Here is a 19,578-nt window from a genome sequence, read left to right as displayed (position 1 = left end):
TCCTCCTGTAGCTCGGAGTAGTTTGATCGTCTGAAGCCTTCTTCTCTCAACTCGTCAAAGTCATTCTCCATCCAGCTTTGTTCCGTTGCTGGTGAGGAGCTGCGTTCCTCAGTTGGAAATGCAGAAATCACCTGAAGAAAGTATTTATTTATCTTTCACTTTTGAAAGATAATCTCACTCAATTTAGAATCTTAGGTTGTGATTTTCCCCCTCACAGTTTAAGTATTTCCCTCCATTATCTGCTTACTTGTATGGTTTTTGATGAAAAGTCAGTTGTAATTCTTAACTTTTTCCTCCATGGGTAAGGTGTTTTTTTCCACTCTGGCTTCTTTCAAGACTTTTTTCTTTGTATTTGGTTTTATGTAGTTTGAATATGATATACCCATGTATTTTTTTTTTTGTGATTTATCATGCTTGATGTTCTCTGAGGTTCCTGAATTTGTGGTTTGGTGTCTGTCATTACTTTTGGAAAATTCTCAGCTGTTATCCCTTTGGATATTTCTTCTGTTCCTTTTTCTTTCTTTTTTTCCCCTGGTATTCCAATTACTTTTATGTTACACCCTTTGAAATTGTCCTGTGGTTCAGCTTGGCAAATTTTTATTGTCTTCAGGCTTACTGATTCTCTCCCCAGCCAGATCTAATCACTGATGAGCCCATCAAAGGCATTCTTCATTTCTGTTATAGTGGGTTTGATTTCTAGCATTTTTGTTTGATTCTTTCTTAGAGTTTCCATGCCTCTGCTTACATCAGCCATCTGTTCTTGCATGTTGTCTACTTCTTTATTAAAGCCTTTAACATCTTAATCATAGTGATTTTAAATTCTCTGTCCAATAATTCCAACATGTATGCCTTATGTTTTGTGTGGTGACTGGTTCTGATGCTTGTTTTGTCTCTTCAGAATTTTTTTCTTGCCTTGTAATTATTTGTTGAAAGGCAGATATGATGTATTGGGTAATACAAGCAAAGGTAAACAGGCCTTCAAGTGTGAACTTTTATGTTAATTTGGCTAAGATTTGGGCTGTGTTTAATGTTTGCTATAGCTGTGAGTATCAGTCTTCAAATTTCTCCAATGTTCTAGTTTTTGTTTCTCCTGTCTGGGCTTGTCTAAGTACTTCTCCTCAGAGAGAATCTGTGTCTTATATCTTTTTCAGCTGTAATCCGTTGATACTATATCAGAGCCATACTGGTGTGGTGATAAGGTGTGGGAGATGAGAAATGTTCTATAATCTTATTATTACATTTTAGTGTTTAGTGGCCCTGTGTCCTTGGACAATGAACTTTGCAAGTGTTTCTTAGCTTTATTTTCCCAGCTTAGGAGAGATAGAAAGCCTAGAGGGGATTGGAGTGGAAGAAATGCCCTTCCCTGAGATGAGATAATGATATGGTAAGGTTTTCTGCCCTGAAGAGTAGGGCTTTGTTGTAGATAATCTTCTGGGTATATTTCACAGTGGTTACTCTTCCCTACCCATGTAAAACCTTAAGATGATCTTTCTCAGTTTCTCTTCCTGAAAACCTGATGATGAAACAGGAGAGTTCCCTTATTCTCCTCACAGGACATGCAACAGGGGTGTGGCTTGCGCCTTCGGTGGCCCTGCTACTCAAACTCCTAGGGGGAGCATGCAGATGGGTAGGTGCAGAGGCTGTGTGGAGCACTTTTGGGCTTTGGCCCCATGGCAGCATCTAGGGATGGGTGTCTGCGACTCCCGAAGCCCAAGTGGGCATGTGTTACAGTGTGCTTTTTCAGCTTTGCTGTCTGCAGACAGCTTGTGTTAATCAGCTCAATAGACCCTCTGCCTTATTGCAAGGGCAGAGGGCCAGTGTGACAGCTTTCTGTATCCTGAGCTCTTACCCAGTGTGTTGGAAAAATCGGATCACATGTGGGCTGGAAGGATCAGTGCAAAGTTTTATTGAGTGGTGGGGGTGGCTTTCAGCAAGATGGATGGGGAGCTGGAAGAGGGGGATGGAATGGAAATGTGGTCTTCCTCAGGAGTTGGGCTGCCCAGCTGCCAGACTCTTCTCTAACCGCCCCCGGCCGAACTCCTCTTGGCATCCAGATGTCCCTGCTCTTCTTTCTTTCTCTGCCATGTCGTTCTGCCGTTGCTGGTCTGCCGGTCTGCTGGTGTCTGCTGGTGTGTTCTTCTGCTTCGCTCAACCTTCAGCTGCTTGCGTCTGTGCCTGCTAAGGCCTTAGGTTTATATGGGAACAGGATGGGGGGCATGGTAGGCCAGAGCAGTCTTGGAAAATGCAACATTTGGGCACGAAAACAGGAGTGCCTGTTCTCACTTAGGTCTGTGGGCACAGGCCTGAGGGTGGAGCCATCTCCAGGGACACTGTCCTTTTTTACCCAATACTTCCCTGGCCCCCATCCTGTGTGAGTGAGATTCTTGGAGGTAAAACTATAAAAAGTGTGGAGGCCCACCTGACTATGATCTCCAGGACTTCCTGATTGTGATCCCCAGGAGTTTCTCCCTTTCACTCTAGTCCACACTTAGCCTCCAGCAATTCCACTATGCCAATTCCAAATGACCACTGAAGCGTTCCTACCAGTTTATGGCTTCAACATCTTCTGCTCCAGATAAACATACCTCAACTCTGGCTCTGGATTTGTCCATTTCTCCATTTTGGAGGAGAGGGGAATTGCCTTGTAACTTTAGTTCTTTATTGAGCCCAAGTAAAGTTGTTGATTTTCAGCTTTCTTGCTTTAAATAAATCTAATCCCAACATAATTTCCAATCTTTTGCATGCATTTTCTTCTTTAAACTTCCATTATTTTCTGTTTCTTATTTTCTAAAATTTCAGTGTTATATACCTTTGGTGTAGGTTTAAAAAATTCATTTTATTGAGTCCTTAATGAACTCTTAAATTTTAGGATTCTTTTTAGTATGTCTTTGAAAATCTGCTTTTTGTTTCTTGTTGTTTGGATATTTATTTTTTCTTTGAGCCTATAATTTATTATCTTGTTTACCCTCTTTTATATTTTTGGCCTACTTTCTGGGATATTTCTTTAACTTTGTAATTCAACTTTTCTATGAATTCTGTTATATATTTTGTTACCATATTTTAAGTTTCAAAGGACTTTATTTTTAGTCATCTGAACATTCCTTTTGTTCTTGCTTCATTGGATTGTGTCTCAGTCCATGTGAGAATATTAATTATGGTTTTTATTGAAGATTTCTTATGTTTCCTGCATTATCATTTTTTCCTAGAGTTGATTTCTGTGTGTGATCATTTGCTTGTTTTGTCTCTACTTTCATGTTGGAGACTCTCTTCAAATGTCTAGGGATCCTTGACTCTCCCCTCATATTTAAGAAGGAGGCCTGAAAAAGAGGCCACGAAACTCGGTGTAGGCAGAGCTTATACACTAATGGGTCTCACTAGAGGGTGTTAGACAGGGATTTGGCCATTCGATTGGAGATCTCTTAAACATATCAGAATCTGTAGGTCTTCTCTTTTGTGCTGGTCAGTCTCTAGAGATTTAACCTCCCGTTTTAAGCCAGTTGGGGAATAAGATCTAGATGTTTCAACTGCTCCTTTTTAAAGATTTCCAACAAACCTCTTAGTTTGTTTCATTCATTACCTCCATCTCCAGAGGTCCTAGGTGCCTTCGTTTCTGAGCCTTTCAAGAACTCTCTAGTATAAATTAGCTTGATTCTTGTTGGCTTCTCTCTATGCTCCTCAATTTTCTGTGCACGTGGACACACACACACACACACACACACACACACACACACACACACACACACACACAGAGTTACTTGAAGGCCCAGACCTTTCTCTCTCCTGATAAGTCAGTTAACACTTGTTTAATTGCTTTCCTGCTTGTGAACTTTTTGACATCCTTTGTCTGCTTTTGTATTCCTTCGTTTTTTCTTGTTCTTCTGAATCTTTTTCACTTTTACTCCTTTACTCTTCTTTTAGTGAGGTCACAATAGGGAGTGGAGATAAATAAATGCATTTATTCAGATAAACTATATTTATAACCTTTCTCAATCTACAACCTTATTTACCTTGGTGTTGTAATTGGTTGTGAAACAGGCATCATTTTATGCTTTTGACTGGCCATTCCAAGCCATTCTGACAAGAAGAACTTGAGCAGAGACTGAAGATTGGCCTTTTAAAATTTTATCTCAAATCACTGACAATTCTGTTTAATCTGGACTCCTGCCTTTACATTTTTCTACTACACATTTATAGAGTTTTAAAAGTTGTTTAGTCCCTGAGGAAATCCTGTTTGTGTCCGCTAAGCATACTCAGATGCAGAAGTATAAAAGAATACCTAAGCTACTTACTATAAGTCATACAAACAAGATGGCTAAATATCAATTAAAATATTTTATTTAAAACATTAAAACTTGGGGGTTCATACTTTTCCTTAAACAGTGATGCCTTGGCAATAGACTGAATAAGTTTGAGGATCTCATTATAAAACCAAGCAACAATTATTTGTTGAAGTGCCTGAGTTGATACCTGGAGGAACATGAAGAAAATGTGAAATATTGTTCTTGCTCTTCTCCTAGACACTTAGCCATGCCCTGTGGAGTCCTAATTTGATCAAAAGCACAGGCTTTTCATTTGATACATAAAACTAAATCCCCTTCCTGCCTAGTTGGTGAGACATAGTTATATATGAAAAATACTAGCAATACAAGACAACACAACACAACTAAGTGTTTAATCATCAGTCAGAGCCAGCAAATACTATGACATCAGAACAGGAGGTCAAAGAGAGTAGAAGCAGATACCACAAATATTTATTGAGTTCTCATAAAGTCTGTGTTTTAGGTGTCCTGGGAACACATTATTGAATGAGAACTTTCTAGATAACTTGGCTTGGTCTTGAATAATGCACTGGATTTATACATGGGGAGAAAAAGAAAACAAAAACAAACACACATCACATGAGCGGATCACAACACTGTGACAGAACTGAGACCTGTGTGTGATATAGTTTGGCTCTGTGTCCCCACCCAAATCTTATCTTGAATTGTAATCTCCGTAACCCCCCTGTGTCCAGGGTGGGACCTGGTGAGAGGTGATTGGATCGTGGGGGCTGTTTCCCCCAGGCTGTTCTCATGATAGCGAGTTCTCACGAGATCTGATGGTTTTATAAGTGTTTGACAGTTCATCCTACACACACATTCTCCCTCTTGCCTGCCACCAAGTAAGACATGCCACTTTGCCTTCCACCAGGATTGTAAGTTTCCTGAGGCCTCCTCAGCCATGTGGAACTGTGAGTCAATTAAACCTCTTTCCTTTACAAATTACCCAGTCTCAGTGGTATTCTTTATAGTAATGTGAGAACGGACCAATGTAGTGTGACTTGGAAGGGTGAGAGCGATGACCTGATTAGATTTGGTGCTCATGTTAAGAAAAAGCAGGGAATAAGTTTGGATTGTTGGGTGGGCAGAAGCCCACCAAGGTAAGAGAATTCTTAGTTTGCAGAAGAAAGAAAAACAGCACATTGTGTCACACAGATCTTTTGATGTAAAGCATGACTTTAATGCATTCTTATGATATTATATAGGGAAACATTTACATAGCCCCTTCATAACTGTAATATGCCCTAGTTTTGTTTGTCAGTTTATTTCTTTGTTATTTACTCTACAAATAGTCCTTGAACTTGAGGAAGAAAAATGGGAATGGTTTGTGTTTTACTTAAATTATAAGATCAAAGATGGCAGATGATTTATCCAAAGCCCAGGCAAGTAGGAAAAGCTCCCCCTTCCCTTCCCCTTTTCCAGGATAGAAGAGAGTTGGCTGGTTACTTTGCAGGACTTAAGATGATCTTCATTTTAAAGAATCTGTATCAGCCTCCACTGTGGTAAGATGTGACTGGGATTTCAAGGTTTCCCCTGTCTCTACTGATTTACCTAAGTAGGACAGAGATTTCTGGGGCATGCCTGCCGGTGGAGGGCAGTAGGTCACTCAACTAAGAGCACAGTATTGTTGAGAAAATGACACTAAAGTGGTCATCTGGGATGCTACTTCGCTTTTGGTAAATAACTTTGCATCAACTTCTCAAGTTCCACCTCTCAGTGGAGACGGATGCTAGACAAAGGTACCAGACACCGCAGCCTGGTCGGCTGAACAAATGGAGTTATAGCCTTAGATTTTGTTTTCGTGATGACTAAGCTGACCAGGTTTCTTCTTTGTCCTTGCACACTTTATGCTTGACGAGATGCTTAAGCAAATAGAATAGGCGACCGCTAGGAGGTACCCGAGCTATGCGTCGGCCGCCGGGGCGAGCAGAAATGGCTAACAGCGACTCTCTCGGCTCGGTGGGTCAAGGCGGGTGGTGCTTTTCCAAGGTCGGGGTTGCGATAAGCTTATCGCTTATCACAAGCAAGAAGGGCAAGAAGGACGTCTAAGAACCAACGGTCCTTTAATCTAAAAGGCCGCGCGCCTCCAAGGCAATGTGACATCTTGAGGTCTAGTGTTTGGGCACCAGCTGCCTGCACATCTGGATGCAGCACTTCCTTTCAGGGAGGAGGCGAGGCGGAGGACCCCGGAGTGCACGCACCTCCTCGTGCGCGCGCTCGCTTGCGCCCGTGAACGTGTGTGTGTGTGTGTGTGTGTGTGTGTGTGTGTGTGTGTGTGCGGGCGCGCGCGCACACACACGGGCCGCGGCTCCGGGACCGGCTAATGGGGGTGGGGGCCCAGGAAGGAATAAATCTCCGCCAGCCTCCTCGCGCCTGGCTGCGGGTTAATATCCAACCAGCTAGAGAAAGACTAGGGTGACGGCAGCAGGGTGACAGCCTGGGCACACCGGCCGCTTGTCGAAGGATCAGGATATTAGCCAGTCTCCGCCACACTCAGGGACTGATATATTTCTATTGGCGGGGGGCTGTTGGTTTTTATTGTCTGCCGTTATCTCCAAAGAACAAGGGCACGAGTGAGGGGTGCGCGCTCTGGGCGAGTGTCGCGGCTCGGATCGGGTCGAAGGAGGCAATTTTGCGGGTGGGGGAGGGAGGGGGAGACCTTGATTTCCACCAATCCCCGGGCGTTTGTCTGCGAAGTCCGGGGCGCAGCGGAAGGCTGCGGCGCGCCGCTGAATTAACTGATGAGAGCGAGTTCTTTTCTTCTCCGGGAGGGGTGGGGAGCGAGGGTCCCGGCGGGCGAGGCGGAGGAGCCCGGGGCAGGATAGCGGTCCCGGGCCGCCGTGGAAATTTCCAAGGACTTGGTGCGGCGCAGAGAGCGCGTCTCGGGGCGGGGTGGGGGGGGGGGGGTTGCCTGGCGGCGCAGCAGCGCGGGAGGCGGCGAAGGGCGCAGGAGCATCGCTCGGAGGGGACAAGGGGACGCCACGGGCCACATGTTTAGGAGGGAGCCGAGCCTTCTCCCGGACCCTCGCCGAGGGCGACCGTGATGCTGCAGAACCGGCGGGAGCGACTCGCCGCCGCCGCTCTCTGCGCACTCGGAGACCCCAGCGCCCGCCTTCTGCAGGGGAAGCGACCATGGCCATAGATCGTGACTTCACCCCCAGCCACTTCCCCTAGAAAGAAATCCTTGGAAAAGTTGCATTTGAAAAAATCCTTGCGCTGACCTTTGGGGCCGACGGGGCCGAAGAAGCGTGCGTGCGTTTGCAAGTAAGAGAACCAAAGGTGTGTGTGCATGGGGGGCTGGCGGTGGGGGACCCTCCGCTGCCACTTCGCCTAGCTTTGTGCTGAGGCCCCGGCCCCCGCCCCTGGGACGCCGGGGCTGCGATGAGCCCCTGCGGGCGGGCCCGGCGACAAACGTCCAGAGGGGCCATGGCTGTACTGGCGTGGAAGTTCCCGCGGACCCGGCTGCCCATGGGAGCCAGTGCCCTCTGTGTCGTGGTCCTCTGTTGGCTCTACATCTTCCCCGTCTACCGGCTGCCCAACGAGAAAGAGATCGTGCAGGGGGTGCTGCAACAGGGCACGGCGTGGAGGAGGAACCAGACCGCGGCCAGAGCGTTCAGGTACTCCTGCCCTCGCGGCTCCTCCCCTCTAGCGTCCTTTCCTCCCCGAGTGCAGAGGACAGGGTCACCGGCGAGGACCGCCTTGCACCGTCTCGCAGAGGCATCCCTTTCATCCGCTCTTCCATGTCCTTTCCCTCCATTTGTGCCATTCCCAACCTGGAGACTTTAGTCAGGGTTCCTTCCCCACCCCTGATCCCCAGAGATGTGCAGACACCTGCTTTGCGCATGTAAAGACTCGACGCATTTCTTCCCAAAGCGGAGTTTTATTTAACAATTTACGGATAAACAAAACAGAGGGAAGGAGAACCCAGGATAACTTAGTCTCTTGCACTTAATAAGAATTTACCTCTTGGGCTCTGCAGACATTTGAAGCTGTAGGGAACAAGAAGCAGGTAAAAGGCATCTCCCCGAGGTGGAGTGCACAGTCGGTAACATAAGTCCCCAACGTCGGAGTGATGGGCAGTGGAAACATGGACGGATCCCGCAGCTTTGCGCAGTGTGCCCACAGCAAGTGCATAGTACTGACTGACGTCTACTAAGAGACGATACTGTGCAATTTTTGTGTTGAAATCTCGAACAGCTGTCTAGTATTATTATCTCATCTTGTTGACCACAAATTGATTCTTTAGAAGGATGAGTAACTTCCCCAAGGTCATTACTTTTGACCTGTGGGTGCTGGATTTTTCATCACTTAAAGCTCCAAAGCTCCCAGCTCTTTTTATTGGCTTAGGCTGTGGATGCCTCTGGAAGATGGGAGATGTACTTTAAGTAGGCACCTGAAGTCAGAAAACAAACAAAATGCCCAAGCCAGGTTGGAAATCAGAACTCTGAGGATCACTCAGAGGTTGTAGATCCGCTTCCTTTCTGGGAATTTTAGATTAAATGTCTAAAAATAAGTTACGGCAGCAGGGGTTGTGTAGTTAGATTGGAGGGAAGGCAGAGCTGCTTCCCCTTCCTCTCCACCTCCCCAGGCATGTTGAGGGAACACACGGGTGCTTCCACCACTGCGAGGTGCCCCTTTCACCTTTAGTCTCTGGGGCTGAAGATGCTGCTGTTGGCTTCTTCCTGTGATTGTAGTGGTCTGGGTGGTTGGAAATGATCTCCTCTGCTCTGTAGAGGATCTTTCTAATCAGTGCAAGGGCAGGTGAGTTCTAATGTAAACATTTTTCACTGCAGTTATTTACAAATATTCAGGAGCATCTATACATTTTTAAAAACTTTTTAAACATATGGTTTCCATCTCCTTCTCAGGCCTCCTCCTGGAAAGAGGATTAAAAAGATAACAGAGCCAATTTGTTTAGAGGAAGGCAACTGCATTCTCCTTGGAAGGGAGGACTTTCCTTCTCCCTTTTTAGAACTCTACCATCATTGAATTTAAAAATAACCTCACTCTTCCTAAAAGTATCTAAGGGTTAATTTTTTCTTTCCTTCACAGTATTGATTGTGGGACTCAAGAGCAGGCAAAAGGCATCACATCCAGCAATTATTTTCCCTAAAGACAGAAAGCACTTTCATTTCAAGTGATCTAAGGAAATGAGTTAAGAACTTCCCATTGGTTTGCAATGAAAGAGTCCATTTTTTTAATATAGGAGGAGGAATAATGAAGCCCTCTTAGAGGATAGATTTCTTGTTGGAGGATACAGTCAAGTGGAAAATGCTTCAAATTCTGAGACACACAGGCTGATAGTTTCTGAGACACATTTGTTCCTTGCTTTCTGTAGCCTGGAGTAATTTTCAGTGTGTTTGGCTGTTATCTGGTCTGGTCTCTATGTGCAGAGAATTACTTATTAAAATCCACACACTATGAAAACTACCTAAACACATATCCCTCAAAGTTAGTGGCTGTAAAACCATGTAAAAGGCACCATTGCTTATTGAAATAAGTTTGAGCTTCAGAGTAGAATTCTGAATTTCTACACTGAGTATGCTGTGACTAGATAAACAGCAGAGAATCTTTGGCAAGTTAGTATATTTTTTGAGTCCTGGCTTTCTTGTTTATCTACATTGCAGAGTTGTTAGAAGGTTTACATTTTTAATAAAAACTGATGCCAAGTATCTGGTACATTGTGTACCCAGAAAATGGTTGCCTTATAATTGTTATAAATTATATTTCTGGTATATGTTACAACTTAAATAAGGAAATCTGGGCAACCCATGAGAATTTGGAATGTTTCTCCTGCCAGATTTACAGGTAAACATTATTGGTCCCTACCCCTCTCCCCAGCCATGTACACTTAACGCTAATGAACAGGGACAAGACATTTTGAAAGGTAGGAGAAGTTTCATGGTTTGAGTTAATTATTTTTTACCTGCACATTTAATGTTCTTTAACATTTGGATTGTCAGTATATGGCAGTAGTGTTTATTTGTTAAATATTAGACCAGTCAGTCAGAAGCCATTATCATGTTAAGGAGACACAACTTTGACAAACAAGCATCTGTTTTTCTCCAGTCTGAAACATCTTCTGCATAAATACAGATATATGCACACAAATGCACAAGGTGCACTTATATGTTGAGATATAGGTGCATTTATTCACAAATCATGGAATGGTGTCATGTATGTATAAAAATATAGATGTGTATACATACATAAATACAAACATTTGCAATCAGTCAATTAAACAATATTTCATGAGTGACTACTCTACATCAGATATGTGTTAGGCCCTGGGGGATAGCAGTGAATAGGATGGATAGATTGCCTCCTCTAAGAGCTTTCCTCCTAGTAGAGGATGATTGACACACAAATAAATACGATGACTTAACATACGGTTAAATTCTGTGAAGAGAAAAGGGAGTGTTTCACTATGTTTATAAACACCAAAATTTAAGATTTTATTTTGCCCTCTGTGCTTCCATTTACTTTTGTAATTTTCTTCTTCTAGCTCAGTACTTGATATGTACTGAATTCTCAGAGAAGAACCTTGTCAAACTGCGAAGGAGATGGCAGGAAGAAAGTAAGAAAGCTGTAAGAGTTTTGAATAGAACAGGAAGTTTTCCTAATGTTTATGTGGTGATAGAAAGATAAAGGAATCAATAGATCCTATTATAGAAACTTTCTTAATTCTTGTTGCTTTTGATTAAGTGATACTGTGGGAAATGCCAAACCAAAGCAGTGTTTGTTTCTTCCATCAGATCCTCACCCATTTCATTTGCTCCTCAGAAATGAACCTGAATTCAGAATTTATGTGCAAGGCTTTATTCATGGCACCTGACATGGTAACAATAATAGTAACAATTAAGCTAACAAGTTATTAGGTGCTTATTATCTGCCTGACACTATGCTAGTATGTATTGTCTCATTTAATCCTCATAAGAATCTTGTATAAATTGATATATCATTATCCACATTTATGAAAATGAACATGCCCTGGTCTTCAAGGGAGTTGCTATAATCCCATGGAAAAGACAGATAATGTATATAATTAACTAACTGGAAATAGGGCCATCAAAGACAGGAAACATAGCAGAGTGAAAACCTTATGGATTTGGGAGCTGTCAGAACATGGTTGGAATTCTGGCTGTATCCCTTTCTAGTTGTGCAATCATTGGTAAGTCCAATCTCAGAGCTTCAGTTCCTCCATTTGTAAATTGGGGCTTGTAAGAATGTCTTACAAGTTTGTGGTGAAAATTACATGATAGCATATAGACAGCGCCTGGAATGATGCTTGCCACATAGCTCTGTTTAATACGTGATTGTTATAACAATAGAAACACCAGTGAAGTGCTGGGGATGTTCCCAGAACATGACATTTAATTCTACTGAAGGGAGGGAAATCGGGTTTCAGAGAGGAGGTGGTGTTTGGAGTAAGCCTCCAAGGATGGTAGGGTGGCATAGTGGTAAGAGGTGAGGATAGAAGTATATGCCAGGCAGAGAGAACAGCAAAGATCAAGGCGGAGAGATTTGGAAGTGCCTGATGTGTTTACTGTATGGAAAGTTATTAAGTCACCCATGGAGACCACCATAGAAAAGTGGGCTGGGTGGTAGGACGAAGCCAGGAGTCTTTGAATGTATTTAAGGTATGGCTCATTAGAAATGGACAAACATCAAGGATCTAATGGTACTGGCTGCATGTTAGCTATCAGCAGAGGTGGCACATCACTGTTACCAGTGGGTTTGGGAAGTAGAATAGAGGTTAATACAGTGAAGTGGTTGTTTTGAAAATTCTGTCGACTCATTGGGTGGTAACCGTTACTCTAAGCAGTCAAGTCCTTTCTTTTTCAAAATTTTGAACAAACGACTGTTTTCAGCAGTTCCACCTTTATGTGGCCTCTTTATTTCCCTATTTTTGAATCCAGGGATGTTAAAAGCTCAATTTCCATAATTGTCCTGGTGGCAGGAAAAGGGCATTGGGAGTGGAGGGGAGGAGCATAGGTGCAGCCATCTGTACAGGTAAAATATAAGTTTAGTGTTTGTAAGTTGGGGGTTTATGGAATTCACTTTGAAAAGGTAGTTTGGGAAAAAGAGGGTTTAATAAGTTTTGATGCTCAAGAAAATATGCTACAGTTATGTTGCAAATTTACAAATGTGGAAAAAAATCTCATCAGCAATAATCACAATAGCAAAAATCAATCACTAACCCTTACTGGATACGTAAAATATACCAGGCCTAGTTCTTAGCACTTATATATGTTTTTTTTTCCCCAAAGCAACCTTATAAAGTAGGTTTGTGTATGTTCCTTGTTTTATAGATGAGGATATGGAGGTTTAGACAGATCCATGAACAAAATGATGGAGTTTGATTTCCAACCTGGAGCTATTTAATTCTAAACCTCATGCTTGTTCCCTGCTCATTTGGGATAAATGAAGCAATGCTGTATACATCTCTCTCATGATTTGGCTCTGATTACTTCTCCAATGTCATCTTTCATCAGTTTTTCTTTTTATTCTTTGCTAATATTGGAATAATTAAAAATAGGCCAGGCTATATTGGTTTTGCTCGAGCCACCCACTCCACCTGGAATGACTTGACTTGAAGGCCACATCTTCCTGCCTTTTACCTGGCCAGTTCCTTCTCATCTCTTGACAGTGCATTATAGTGGGTAAGAGCAAAGGTTCTGAAGTCAGCTGTGTTCAAATTCTGATTCCATCACTTGCTGTGTTCTTGAGCAAATCAGCCTTCATTGCTCATTTCTCTATCCATAAAATGGGGCTTCTTATAGGACTGTTGTAAGAATTAGATTAGATAATGTGTTTAAAATGTTTAGAACTATTTCCAGTATATAATTAATGCTCAGTCCTTGTTAGTTCGCCTCAAGGTGGCTTCCCTTACTCCTTCTTCCCTTCCCAGGCTGTGCTTAGAACTCCTCCTCTCTGTTTTCTTTATACCATGCATGTATGATTGTAATCCTTTCAGTTATTCAAAATACCTACTACTCTGTGTCTACCACTATTACTGTAGGATAGGAGATGCTGGGTCTGTAGCTGTGAACTGAATAAAATTTTTGTTTTCTTGGAATTTATAGGATAATGATGAGAGACAGAAAATAAACAGAGAAATATACAAATAACTGGTAGCGACAGGTGCATTAGTGATGATGTATTAAAAATATGAGTGCACTTGCCTGCCTTCCCTGCTAAATTTTAAGTTTCTCACAGACAGGAACTGTGCCTCATTCTTAGTTGCATTCCCAGAGCCCAGCATGGTCCCTGGCACACTAAATTTTGCTTAGATATCATGTGAATGAATGTTTAGGAAGGTGTGGAACCAGATAGCCACCCAATTGGTCAACAAATATTTAATGAGACCTACTGTGTGTCCAGCACTCTGGCAGTGTAGCAGATCAGAGGAGTAAGCATCCTTTGTATTCTCAAAGAGCTCTTACTCTAGAGCAGAGGTTCTTAATTTCAACCCTCCTGACATTTTAGGCTGCATACTGCTTTGCTGTGGAGTGCTGTCCGGTACATTGTAGAATGTTCAGCAGCATCCCTGGCCTCTGTCCACTAAATGAGACAACCAAATATGTCTCCAGACTTGGCAAAATACCTCCTGGGGGGAAAATTGCCCCTGACTGAGAACCATTGATTTGCAGAAACAAAACCTGCCCTATCGACAGGATTTAAGAAACCTTGAAAGTATGCGTAATTAAGAACTAAATTTGGAAACTACAATATAAATGCTTTGACTGTTTAGAGAAAGGAGGTGTCTCTGTGGGCTCAAGTTGTTGGAGAAGGCCTCCTGGAAGAGGCCTGAATGAACTGTACTTGATAGACAGGTCTTGGTTAGGGAGGGTCAGGAGAGGGGAGGCGTTTTAGGATATTTATATAAGCAACCGTCTCTGTTGAAAGTAATATAACAGCTGTTTAAGATTTTCACTAATGTTCCCCTTAATCCCTGGTGAGAGGGGTCCATGCTCTGTGCCCTATACTTTAAGGGGCCACATCCTTCTTTTTCTCTGGTTTCACCCTTTCTCAGTGAGGCAGGGTGTTAATGGGATCTTTCTAGACTCTGGAATTTCCTGCCCAAATGACCCAACTCTACTTCTGCAGCCTGCCTGCCTGCGTGGGGCATTTTCCCCAATCTTCTTCCTGAGAGTGGCTTGCCCCCCTGGTATGTACAATCCTAGTCCACACATCAGAGGGGGCAAGGAACGGCTAAGGGACAGCTCTTTGAGGGAGACATTGTGGAAGGATCTTTGATTTGGTGCTGTGGGGCCCACATATGCAAGTGGTATAGGCTTGCCCTGTGTCCCCAGATTGCAGGACCAAACTTCCTGGAGTTTCAGGAGTCTAAATTTGAATTTGGCATTCCAGATTGTTATGCAGATTTGTTTGTCCAGGGAGGAGAATAGAACATGTTTTATCGGTTTGTTGGTTTGATGATAACTTCTCAATATTAGATACAGTTGTACTTTTGTTCTCTGCCTTGCAAATGGAGGTGGTTGGAGAGTTTTTGGTCTGTACTGTATAATCAATACTCGAGTGAAAAATTATAGTGGGTTTTTTGTAACTTGGGAGTCTATCAGTCTTCTTTGAGAGCAAAGTGTTTTAGGAAACTAGTTGGATCAATTGAATAATTATGTAAGTTAGTATAGAATGTGGTCAGTTAGTCTTTTGACAAAGTTGTGAGTCATCTTGGAAATAATGATACTATGTATCATTAATGCACTCTTCATGATGGATTTGATAGATTTCTGGTAAAATAATCTATTTTAGCTTCTCATTCTGACCTGGCTCTATCAGGAGCTGTGTGACCTTGGGCAAGTTACTTAACCTCTCTGTACCTTTGTTGCATCATCTGAAAAATGAGTATAATGTGCTAATCTACTTCATAGGTTTGTGATGATAATTAAATCAGATAAAGAATGTAGACTCCATAACCATCCTCACTTGGCTGGGTGGGATGATAGGAAGTTTGTTCCCACCTGGAAAATGTCTGGACTTTGGAGTCCCAGAGATAAGGATCTAATCCTGGTTCTGTCATTTATCAACTTTGTGACATTGAAAAATTTACTTGGTCTTGCTGAGCCTTAGCCGCAGGTGGCAATAGTTACCTTGAGAGGATTAGTTGCTGGATAAGTGCTAATTATTAGTCCATAATGAGGAGAAAATCCATGTCTTTGGACAAATTCTGTGCCTATTAATTGTACTTTCAGTAAAAGAATATCTGACAATGAAATGTGACCTTGTGACACACGCTCTTTTTTCACAGAGTTAGTGCTGAGGGTGCTGTACTATGGCCGGCAAAATTTTATGGAAGACAGCAGAGCCCAGCAATAAATCAACTGATTTCAATCATTCATTCAACCACATTTGCTGAATGTCTACCATGTACCAGTTAGGTGCTGGCAATACAGTGATGAATACAAGAACGTGGTCCCTGATTTGTTAATCTAATTAACAAATTTTATAATCTAATTAACAGCAGTTCTCCCATATCTGTGGTTTTGTTTTCCATGGCTTCAGTTGTCTATGGTTAATTTGGTCCAAAAATATTAAATGGAAATTCCAGAAATAAACAATTCATAAGTTTTAAATTGTGCTCTGTTTTGAGTAGCGTGATGAGATTTCACTTTGTCCCACTATGTCTTGCCTGGGATGCGAATCTTCCCTTTGTTCAGCGTCTCCACACTGTTGACACTTGCTGCCCATGAGTCACTTAATATCCATCTTGGTGGTGGGATCACCGTGCTTGTGTTCAAGGAACACCGATTTTATTTTACCAGTGGCCCCAAAATGCAAGACTGATGATGCAGGTATATTGTTATAATTGTTCTATTTTATTATTAGTTATTATTGTTCATCTCTTACTGTGCCTAATTTATAAATCAAATTTTATCATAGGCATGTATGTATAGGAAAAAATAGGAAAAAACGGTATATAGGGCTTGGTACCATCTGAAGTTTCAGACATCCACTGGGGGTCTTGGAATGTATCCTCCACAGATAAGAGGAGATTCCTAGTTTCATTCCTTAAATCAGTAAGAAACCAAGTAACATGGGGTTCCAAGGCTTACAGTTTGACTGTTTTGGATAATGATAATGAGTTTTGAAGGAATCGATTTTTATCCCTTTCTGTTGAACTGTCTTCTAGCTGTGGCATTGCATGAGAGGGAAGCAGCCAAGACCGTAAGAGCTGTGTCGCTCTAATTAGGTGCCAGGAGGAAGTGGAAATGAATTCAGAGCCACACATTCTCCATTTTTCAGATCTTAAACACAGAAGACACTATCAGAGATTTCCAGGTGACCACAATGAGAAAAGGGCCTTTCGTCCCACTACATCTTGCCTGGGATGCAAAATCTTTAGTTTGTTTCCATTATTGATAAAATAAACATATATAGTACATGATTTTATGTCCCCCATGTTCATTTAAACAATTTATAGTGTTTATTATTTGTCTGATTTTGGAAAGAATACATATTTACTATAGAAAACTTTTAAATGTAGTAAAAAAGAAGAAAAAGCCTGCTGAAATTCCCTCACTCGGAAGTACTTATTGTAAACAGTCTCTTTTGTGTATGTTTGTTTGTGTGTATTACTAAATTGTATGTATTTTGTATATTTAATTTTATATCCTCTTTTATTCACTCAAAATTATACCTTTAGAATTTTCTCATATAATTAAATAACTTTTAATTTATAAACTTGTGAAAAAATAGCTTTATAATTTTTTATTTTGGAAAAATAATTATTTATTGTCCAAGTATTACCATAAAAATACTTTAAAAAAAGATTATGCTGCTGACAAATTTATGTTAGACTTTTTTCTTTAATGATTTCTTCATATGTAGTTGTTGTATAGCTGAGCATAGGAAATTAAAAAGCCTCTTTAAAGATCTGTACTGTCTTGAGGTTGATATTTAAAGGATAAAAGCAACACTATTTTCATTTGTAAAAGTAATTGACATTTAACAAACATCGCTAATATTTTGGTTTATATTCTTCTGGATCATTCAATGCCAATGTGTGTATAAATGAAACAAAAATATAATGAATTCAACAGTACATTGCAAATATTTTTCTAGTAATAGTATATGCAGTCTACATCATCTCTTCTAATGGCTGTAAGATTTTCCATTGTTAGGATAGATACAAATGTATTTAATTAATATACTGTTATTGGATATTTATGTTGTAATTTCTCACTTTTATGAATAAAGATGTGGTGATCATCCTTTTGTATACATCTTAAACACTTACCTGCTTATAAATTTCTAGAATTAATCTTTTCACACTTTTTAGTTTGAAGCGCCAGTTCTTTTTTTAAAATCTTTTTAAAATTTTTGTTCCTTGAGTTTATTAACTTAAAACGAATGCTACTACAAGCATTTCTTCCATGCCACTAAACTTTAGCCCAGACATACATTTTAACGCTTGCATAATTTTCTGTCATATGAATATCATTAAATGTATTTAACCAATGATCTTTGTTGGAAATTTAGTTTATCTACTATTTTTATGATCATGAATAACACTGTCATTTGATGACTTTAAGTTGTCTTAATTCTATATTGGTTTTTTCTTTCTTTTTTTTTCAACTTGTATTTTAAGTTCAGGGGTACATGTGCAGTATATGCAGGTTTGTTTCACAGGTAAACATGTGCCGTAGTGGTTTACTCCACAGATCATCCCATTACCCAGGTATTAAGCCCAGCATTCGTTAGCTATCCTTCCTGATGCTCTTTCTTCCCTCACCCCAACCCTGACAGGTGTGTTGTTGTTCCCCACAATGTGTCCATGTGTTCTCATCGATCAGCTCTCACTTATAAGTGAGAACATACAGTGTTTGGTTTTCTGTTCCTGGGTTACTTTGCTGAGAATAATGGTTTCCGACTCCATCCATGTCCCTGCAAAGGACACCATCTCATTCCTTTTTATGGCTGCATAGTATTCCATGGTGTATACGTACCACATTTTCTTTATCCAGTCTGTCATTGATGGGCATTTAGGTTGATTCCATGACTTTGCTATTGTGAATAGTGCTGCAGTGAACATATGTGTGCCTATATCTTTATAATAGAATGATTTATATTTCTTTGGGTGTATACCCAGTAATGGGATTACTGGGTCAATTGGTATTTCTGCCTCTAGGTCTTTGAGGAATTGTCACACTGTCTTCCACAATGGTTGAACTAGTTTACACTCCCTCCATCAGTAAACACCAATTCTTATATCTGGCATCTTTGATTGTTCATAGAAAATCTTTGGCTTTGGCTAAGTGCAGATTTGGGGTGTTGCCTCTTTCAGTGTGCAAAGTGATTGCATAAATAGATATACTATGATTGTTAGATTAAATTATAAAATTTCCCTTAGGTGGATTTACAATAGGTCAGGCAATGAAAAAAGATCCCCATACAACTGGATATGTACAGTGGCAGGTAAACCCTTCATTTGGGATTGCAGAGACCCAGCTATGAGGAATTTATGTAGTGCAGTGGTACACGTGCTTTTATTTTTCATGGTTATCAGCTCCATTACAGTACAGCTGATAATTAGCATGGTGTTTTATCTCCATTTAAAAAGCAATAGCTTTCTTTCTTCTAGGACTTAAGCAATTAAATAAAACTGTGATTTAAAAAGGAAAATGAACTTTTACTTCATGATAAGGTAGAGATTTCAAGGAAAAAGAAAAGTGTCCTGGATAAAATAGAAATACTATGTTTCACAACTCTAATTTTAAGAGTCATTTTCCTATTTACTAAAATTAAACGTCTTCAGCATGAATCTGCAGCAGATCATACCCACCTGGTGAAGGGTGGAGGTGTCATAAAAAGGCACAAAAATTCCATGATGATATTTTGTTGGGTCAGTGTTTTGGTGGTGAAGTGTTGGTGACTGTGACATTGCTCGATATCATCTGTATTGTGTCCTTCTACTCCCTTGCACTTGTGTGAAATGGCTCCACATACTGTTGCTTTGGTGCTTTGGGGCTAGAAATGAAGTCTTGTTGATATATGTCTGTCTCAAGTCCCTGGTCACAGCCTTACTAAATGTCTAATGAGTATTGGATGAATAAAAACATCAGATTATCTGAAAGGCTGGTAGACAGCTGTCTGAATACCTTTTAGGGACAGTTTCATTTATTGTCTATTATTAAGACTCTAGGCTCTAAATATTCACTGCTAATTCATGTATTCACTCCTTCATTCCTTTATTCAACAAATATATATTCGATGCCTTCTATGTGCCAGGCACAAT

At 41.1% G+C, this 19,578-nt stretch overlaps 1 protein-coding gene and 1 long non-coding RNA gene across 3 annotated transcripts in view; both read left to right on the top strand.

The window, feature by feature from the left end:
* The first annotated feature begins 7,225 nt into the window (after positions 1-7,225).
* ST8SIA1 (ST8 alpha-N-acetyl-neuraminide alpha-2,8-sialyltransferase 1) overlaps positions 7,226-19,578 on the top strand; it is a 141,317-nt gene continuing 128,964 nt past the window's right edge. For both annotated transcript variants that reach the window (NM_001304450.2, NM_003034.4), the window contains exon 1: positions 7,226-7,936. Coding sequence is in view for 1 of the 2 variants with exons in the window: in NM_003034.4 (NP_003025.1) it covers positions 7,701-7,936 (236 nt within the window). In the remaining variant the exon portion in view is untranslated. The remainder of the gene's footprint in view (positions 7,937-19,578) is intronic.
* On the top strand, positions 7,943-17,802 carry LOC105369151 (uncharacterized). The gene is made up of 2 exons (XR_931426.3): positions 7,943-9,080; positions 10,825-17,802. It is a non-coding gene; the product is annotated as an uncharacterized LOC105369151 (long non-coding RNA).

The sequence above is a fragment of the Homo sapiens genome, chromosome 12 (assembly GCF_000001405.40).
Source record: "Homo sapiens chromosome 12, GRCh38.p14 Primary Assembly".
NCBI lineage: Eukaryota > Metazoa > Chordata > Mammalia > Primates > Hominidae > Homo > Homo sapiens.
This window is presented reverse-complemented; position numbering and strand designations above follow the sequence as displayed.